Source organism: Homo sapiens, chromosome 4 (assembly GCF_000001405.40).
Source record: "Homo sapiens chromosome 4, GRCh38.p14 Primary Assembly".
NCBI lineage: Eukaryota > Metazoa > Chordata > Mammalia > Primates > Hominidae > Homo > Homo sapiens.
Window position 1 is genome coordinate 38,500,288 of NC_000004.12, and position 8,638 is coordinate 38,508,925.

General features: G+C 40.8%; 1 long non-coding RNA gene across 1 annotated transcript in view; it reads right to left on the reverse strand.

Annotated features, from left to right (window-relative positions):
- The window catches only part of LINC01258 (long intergenic non-protein coding RNA 1258), a 102,519-nt gene that overhangs the window by 79,626 nt on the left and 14,255 nt on the right, over positions 1-8,638 (reverse strand). The gene's annotated exons all lie outside the window — the stretch shown is intronic.

An 8,638-nucleotide genomic window follows, 5' to 3' on the forward strand; every position in this document is an offset into this window, starting at 1 on the left:
AAGTAAGTAGAGTGAGACACAGAAGTTAATTAACCAACTCAAAGTCACTCATCAGATCCCATAGTGATAGAACCTCTGATTTTGGATTAGGCACATGGCCCCTCGGAATGAAGACTACATTTCCCGGCTTCCTTTGCAGCCAGGTACAGACATGCGGCTAAGATCTGGCCAATGGGATATTAAGTGAAATGGTAGAAAACTTTACATAAATTATTTGCAGTTAGCATTAGGTGGCTTGCCAACTGCTACACCCTCCTATCCCTCCCAGAGGTAATCTTTCCCCTTGTCCTGGCACCCTGGCCCTTTCCTACTGACTCATCCTCTGCCAAAATAGAAAAGAATCTGACATCTGGAAACCATCATTATCTATGACATCCCAGCTTCCTTTTTCCTATCCCCTTTTTGCCTAGTCTGACTGTACCAAGGAAGGTCCTCCTATTCCTAGGAGGTGCCTCAGGCGGAAGTACCAATTTTCATTCCCTCCTGAGGTATGCAGTAAAATCCAGGCTCTGCCACTTAATTAGCAGTGCTTACCAGCTGTGTAACCGCAGTCGAGTCTGTAAAAAACTAAAATACAAATAATAACAGATATCACAGAACTGTTGGTTGAATAACACAAGACGACACCTGCAAATTGATCTGGCTTATAATAGACATTCAATAAATGGTCCTTCTCTGCATTTAATTGACTCTCCCCTTCCTTTTTTGCCCTTTTTCTTCTGAGCACATAAAGCACCATCTCCACATTCTAAGTCGTAATTCCTCTTATTTCCCTACCCTCAACAACCTAGATAGGTTTTAGACAATACCTTATGTCCCATAATTGTATCTTACATTTTAAACATCTTAGCACATTAGTAATTCATTGGCCTGAAAGGATGTGGGGAATAGTGGTTATAGGCACCCAGAAAGTACTGTAACTATTGTTGTAGGAGAGACTGCCTCCAGAATTACAGGTCAGGGATGCTTGGCCTGTCAATGGAATACTACAGCATCCTCAGCTTTTTGTAGCTGTCTGGTGCAGATGGAACAGTAAACACTCCATAAATATGTATTGAATAAGTAAATAAACTAAATAATAAATTGTACCCTTTTCCTACATTGATCACCATCACCCCCTGTAATTGCATCCAAAAATAAGTAGCTTAGTTCAGATTGTAGACTACAAAAACATACACAGTTCAGATACCCTTAACCTCCCCATTCTTTAACGATTCCCAAATAGTCTGAATCATCACGTTGCTTAAACATTGGAGGTGCCAGATTCTCTTCCCTGTGTCTTACCCTTGACCACTTCTTTCTGTGAGTCCCTGGAATTCCATATTCCACAGGCCTGTCCTGGTTGATGTTTGTCCCTTTGAGTGGCACATCCCTGTCTACCCTGGCATAAATCATTTAAAAGGGAATCACAATGTTGGGAACATGGACTTTGGCATCAGACAACTTAGGTTTGAAAGTGTATTTCATATTCCTGTGTCTCAGTCTTCTCATCAACAAGATAGGAATACCGCATTATAGGGCCATTTGAGGAATCTATGAATGCACATTGGTAAGGCACTTAGAAGGGTGCCTGGCACATGGTGAGCACCACCTAAACGCTAGTCATCCATTATTGTTGGTATCTGGGCCTGCCAAGTAGTCCCACAAAGTAGCCCCTCCCCAACCAGTCTGTACCAAAAATAGATCACAGGCTCATCAGAAAGGCAGAAAGTACTTCTCAATCCTCCACAGGGCAGCTTTTCAGGTTGCAAAAAGTTAAGATCTTCTCCCCATCAGGCACCCTACTCTATCACAAAAACAAGAACACAGTTCAAGAGGCTTACTGATTTTAGTGAACGATTAACATTTAGAGAATTTTAAAGAAAAAAAAATTAGAGAATTTTAAAGAATAAAGGAAGACATTGGCCATCTGGCAACACTACTTCCCTTGAGGTATCTATCAAAACCACTGTCCTCGACTCAGCTAAACTGTAGCAATGATTAGCAAATCATAGATTGAGTCCATGTAGATATTAGGGTTTTCATCCTTTAGCTTATTTATTTAACTAATGACTCTCCTTCAGAGCAACCGAGAGAACATTAAAAGAGCAATTGTTGATCATGATAAAGTTTGCCAACATTTGTTCTATTCTTCCTGAGTCAAATTCATATAAGGTTTACTTTTTTCTTAGTGGCTTTTAGAAAACAGCACCCTTTTCAATAGGCAAACTATGATTGCAAACAGACATATCAATGGGCATAATCCCTTATAATACCAAAAACCAACACACATTGGGCAGTTTACGGATGTACACTATCATACCTCCACCCAACTGCAACGAGCAGAGCATTGTACCATTAACATGGCATAGTGCACTAAAATAAAAGCTTTCGCGGAGTTGAAAGCGAAGATGAACTTTGAAACTAGGACAGAAAACTAGTAGAAAACTACCTCTTTCATTAGAATTGTGTTGGGTATTTTGTATGGAAAGAGAACAAGCTTGGATTGAGAATCATTTGTTAAAATGTGTCCGGTCTGGGCAATATAGTAAGACCTCATCTCTAAAAAAAAAAAAAAAAAAAAAAAAAAAAAATTAGCCAGGCACAGTGGCATGTGCCTGTGGTCCCAGCTACTCTGGAGGCTGAGGTAGGAGAATTGCTTGAGCCCAGGAGTTCCAGGCTGCAGTGAGCCATGATCACACCACTGCACTCCAGCCTGGGCAACAGACTGAGCCCTCATCTCAATAAAAAGAAAATGTATATGGTCACATCCTGTTTAGGTCAGAGAAAATAATATGAAATTAACACATATATTCCAATAGCTAATAAAATTTTATCCTTTCAAGCAGCAAGTCACTGTTAGCATTATTTTTTGTACCTCCAGAATCTTCAAACATGATATCACTGTTTGATATTGACAGAAAAACTTTTTTTTTTTTTTTTTTTTGAGATGGAGTTCCACTCTTGTTACCCAGGCTGGAGTGCAATGGCACGATCTCGGCTTACCGCAACCTCTGCCTCCTGGGTTCAAGAGATTCTCCTACCTCAGCTTCCCTAGTAGCTGGGATTACAGGCATGTGCCACCATGCCCAGCTAATTTATTTTTATCTTTATTTTTAGTAGAGACGGGGTTTCTCCATGTTGGTCAGGCTGGTCTCAAACTCCCGACCTCAGGTCATCCGCCCGTCTCGGCCTCCCAAAGTGCTGGGATTACAGGCATGAGCCACCATGCGCAGCCGACAGAAAAACTTTCTATCCCTGCAGTTGTCAATTATGTGACACATCTTCCAGGGGGAAGCCAGCCAAATAAAACCCAAGCTGAAGATATCACATGGAGACACACAAATCATGCCTGATTCACTCCATTGCTAGATGTGAGGATCTCGATACCTGGGTCTTCAAGAACTTTTAGCACAATGAATTTCAAACGGACACTCCCAAGTTAATATAGTCACTAAAGATTTCACATTTAGTCAGTTTCCCTTTGCTCTTAAAACCATATTTCCTTTCTGTACTTTTTTCTTATGTTACTCAAATTAGGAAGTATTCAGGTCACACCAAAGCTTCCCCATCATTTCACTAAGAGGATAGGGTAGTAAGGAGAAATTGAAAGTAGGGAGGGGGAAATTGCCCCCGTTATGGTGGGGGCACCTCACCTATCCCCTGGGGGGACAACCACAGTTTCAGTTTTTTATTTGCTATTTTACTTCTAGGAAGTCTCCATCTATAAATACCTCCTCTTTAATCCCCCAAATTCCAATATCTCTGAACAGTTTCTTTCTTTGTTTCTCTCTCTCATCTTCTTTGCTGTCAATGAATTTGTTACTTGTAAAACAAAATTATTCAAAGACAGTTTCTACAATTACTTTTTTTTTTCCTTAAGAAACAGCAGTAGCTGTCAGCAAACCAAATTGGCTTGATCTTCCAAGCAGACCTGAGACGAAAGGGTAGTTCCGTTTCTCTTACTAAGATTAGGAACCGAGGTGTTAAGGGTAGCAAGCAGAGATGTTCCCTCTGAAAGCATTTCAGCTCTTCTTAGACCACCTCACCATCTAATGCAAATTTAAACGGTCTTCATTAGGAAGTATTAGTTCCCTTTTTAACCTCAAGCATCAATGCCATTTTTCATAGGCAATTGCTATAACTGGATCCTAGGCTGACAATACACCAATAAAGTAGGCGGTTGTTTCATGGGTGTAGTTATAAGGGTATCCACCTTCTGAAAATCCCACTGATGAGGTACTTTCCTTGAATTAAGGCACAGTTTTTCTTTAAATGTGCAAATATGTATGTCAGAAAGCTTTATTAACCCATTATTTATCTACTGGATCTTCTTCAGTTCCTTTAACTAATTATGACAGAAATGAAGACACTTGAAGCTTCTATCTCCAACTCCCATTGCCCCAGTGAGGCCTCATCATCCCTCACCACCGCAATGGATACCTCAACGATCTGCCAGCACTCAGGTCCTCAGGTCCTACTTGTTTTTTTTTTTTTTTTTTTTTCGACAGAGTGTCACTCTGCCACCTGTTACCCAGGCTAAAGGGCAGTGGCACAACCTCTGCTCACTGCAACCTCCAGCTCCAGGTTCAAGCAATTCTCCTGCCTCGGCCTCCTGAGTAGCTGGGACTACAAGTGTGCACCACCACGCCCAGCTAATTTTTTGTATTTTTAGTAGAGATGGCATTTCACCATGTTGGCCAGGCTGGTCTCGAACTCCTGGCCTCAAGTTATCTGCCTACCTCAGCCTCCCAGAGTGCTTGGATTACAGGCCTGAGCCACCACACCTGGCCTAGGTTCTACTTCCTAAAGTTAGAGTTATTGCTCAAAGTAAAAAATGTGACCGTATCACTGCAGTATAATACCCAGGTTCCATATGTTTCCATCCAAGGCCTTCGTAACCCACCTTTTACCTTTGTAGCCTTTGCCCCCATCACACGCACCTACACTGGGATTATAGAAAACCATTTAACCCAAATCCCTTTGCTTTCATTTGCTTATGTGATTTCTTTCAGCAAGAATTTCCTTCAAACACTACAGCCAATCTTCCACTAGTCAAAATCCAACTGATTCTTCAGGACCAAGTCAAAATGTCATTTCCTTAATAAATCTGTCAGAGCCCCTTTTTTCCCCTCTCTCCCCATCATTTACTGATGAATCTGTTTTTAATCCAATAATATTGGATGATGTCCCCCTCCAAAGGACATTCAGCAATGTCTAGGGACCTGTCTGGCTATTACAACTGGGGGTGGGAGCTACTGGCAGCTAGTGAGTGGAGTTCCAGATGCTGCTAAACATCCTACAATGCACAGAACAGCACCCCTTGACCCCCCAACAAAGAACCATCATCCCAAAATGTCAACAGTACCACAGTTGAGAAACTCTGGGTTAAACAAATGCGCTTACTACTGCTCCACCTCCAAGGCCCACTAAACTGAAAGGTATTAAAAAGGATCAAAATTTGAAAAAGACCAAAGTATAGGAGAAGAGACACCAGTGAGCCAGAGATGCACAAATTTTTGCATATGGAAAGTGATGGTGAAATTGATAACTGACTTAGAGTGAAGAAACCATTTAACCTAAATCACTTTGATTCCTATCTGCTCATGCTGTTTCTTTGACCTAGAATTTCCCTCTACATTCTAATATTCCAGCCAATCTTTCAATAATCAAAATCCAAGGGTTTCTTCAAGACCAGTCAAAATGTCAATTCCCTTGTAAATCTTTCAAAGCCCCCTTTTCTCCCTTCTTTCTATCATCCACTGATAAATTTATTTTTCTAGACATCCAATAAAAAATGACGAAGAAAATGAAAGTGAAAAGTTAAAGAAAGTGGGATCTTAGGGCAAGGAGAAAGTGTCAAAAAAGCAAGCCAACTCAGATGGCAGCACCCTGGAAAGGCTCTGAAACTGGAAGCCCCCCTTGGCAATTATGTAGTGAGGGTAGGACTGAATATTAGGATTGGTTCAAATTGTAATGAACAGTAGTCAGATCCTCAGATGCCTACCTTCACCCTAAAGAGTCAGGAAGCTCCCCCACTAGGCTTATTCTCCAGAGTAGCCAAACCAGAGGGTTCTGTGGAGGACAGAAGGGAAGCAGGAGCATCTTGTTGAAGTCAAAAGGGTACCAAGTGCATTCTGAACAATGAGACCCACAACTGCCTTCCCCCACTTTATAGAACTTACCATTTAAAAAAATAAATGTAGAAATACTGGCACTCAGGGTCCCATCTAGCCACCTTTTGGTCCATCCCACAAATCAATAAATCCTGTGCAGATAGATACACAGAGCTTGTTTAGCTTTTTAGTGCCTCACTTTTAACTCTAAAAGGACAACCAAGGATCATCAGACATTTGAGAAGCAAACATGAAAGATAGAGCCCAAAAACCGAGGAAACAAAGAAATGGAAAAGGAACTCAGAAGAAATAGACAATGTAGGTAGAAGGGACAAAAGAAAACTTGAGAATGATTCCAAGTTATATTCTCAAAGAGAATTTGTTTCCATTAAGCAAAAAAAGGTTTATGTTTTTAAAGGAAGGAAAAAAAATGGAGAACAGCCAAAAAGAACTCTTAGAAATTATATACATATATATGAACATTTAAAATGTAAGTGATTGGAAAATAACGTTGAAAAAATCTTCCAAGAAAGTAGAATAAAAAGATATAGACGGAAGAGAGAAAAGCTAAGAGACCCAGAGGATCAAGAAAGGAGGTTCAACACCCAAGTAATATGAGTTCTAGCAAAAAAAGAACAGCAAAAAGGGAGGGAAGAAAATTATTAAGGCAATACTGCAAGAATATTTTGCAGAACTGATATATTTAAAGAGGCTACTCAGTGCCTAACACAATAAATAACAACAACAACAAAAAACCCCTACCAACATACATATCATTGTGAAATTTCAGAGTTCTGTGGGTAGAAAAAAAGATGTTAGAAATTATCAGAAAGGAAAACTTGGTCACATATAAAAGATAAAACATTACTTTAGGGAGTTTCAATTCCTGTTAGAATGTAGTAAGTGGCAAGACATGGTTACTCTTATACTAACAATGAGAAAAAGCCAGGAAAACTACAAGACGATCATTTACTAGACCCACTCTAGAGCTGAGAATGCAAAGAAACCTAACTGAACTAAATTCCAGAAAGCACTAAGTTTTTCATAATTTGCTTACATCCCAGGAGATCTGTCTTAGTCTGTTTGGGCTGCCGTGACAAAATATCTTAGACTGGGTGATTTGTGAACAACAGAATTTTTTTGTTTACAGTTCTGAAGGCTGGAAAGTCCAAGATCAAGACACCAGCAGATATGGTGTCTGGTGAGGGCACCATCTGTTCCTTACATGATGGAAAGGCAAGAAGAGGCTAACATGCTCCTTCCAGTCTCTTTTATAAGGGTGCTAATGCCATTAGTAGAGCTCTGCATTCATTACTTAATCACCTCCCAAAAACCTACCTCTTAATACGTTGCCTTGGGAGTTAGGATTCAATATATGAATTCTGAGGGGTTATGGGCATTCAGACCATCGTGGGATTGGTGGGAGGAGGAAGAATGTGCCATAGGTAGGAATGAGAAGAAGTTAGCTGAATTGTCAACAAAACTTGAACAGCTGCATATGGACTATCAAGACAGCAGCAACCCCAGGATCTCAGCCTTACAGCAGAGCTGCACCTACCTGCCAGCTCCTTCCACATCAAGTGCATGGGGTTAGCACGTCGATGTCTGGGGACAGAGCAGGAGAGCTGAGAGAGATTGTTCCTGTGGAGAAGCAGGGCAGGTGAACTGAGATAGAACTCTCCAAAGCCCTCTGAGCCTTCACCAATCTTTAAGCCTTCACCATCCTGTCTGCAGCAGGCTGAGACGGGACCAAAGAAATCTTTTCAGGGCACTGCTATACTCTCCCAAGTGCACCACAGCAACCCTCAGGGGCTGGGACAAGATGAAAGGTCTGAGAGAGAGAGGTGTTTGAAGGCATGAACATCCAGGGGTAAGACTGACCAGCAAAGAGAATTCCCCAGCAGCCCCAAAAGCTGGCAGTCAGGTTATAAAGCAGAAAGAGATCACTTGCAGTTTAGAAAGCTGACCAGTTAACTACAGAGCATAAAGGGATCCCTGGAGTCTCATTGGCACTTAGAGATCTGCTGAAGGGGAAGTCCTCATATTGTCTTAATGATATCGGAGGCCAGTGGTGACTTATATCTAACTGAAGTTACAAACGAACCCAGACCTAGAACAACTACACATGAGATTGACCTCACCCCAAAACACACACACACACACACACACACACACACACACACACGATCAGCATGACAGAAGGTGGTGCCCCTCATAGGAGAGGTGCTAAATGGAAGTACATGATGGTAAAATCCGTGCATTGTTTGAGAAGTAACAGAATATTTGAATGTAGACCATAACAACTTAAAGATGGATGTCTAAATCCTAGAGCAACCACCAAAAAATAGCACAAAGATATGAGTAAAACAAAAATATAATAAAGGAAAGGAAACGATCAGTTAAAAAATAGTTGGTTCACTCAAAAGAAGGCAGGAAATAAAGACAACAAAGAACAAAGGAGACAAATATTAGGATGACAGACTGAAACCCAAACTATCAATAATTAGGTTAAATGTAAATAGATTAAACAATTCAAGTAAAAG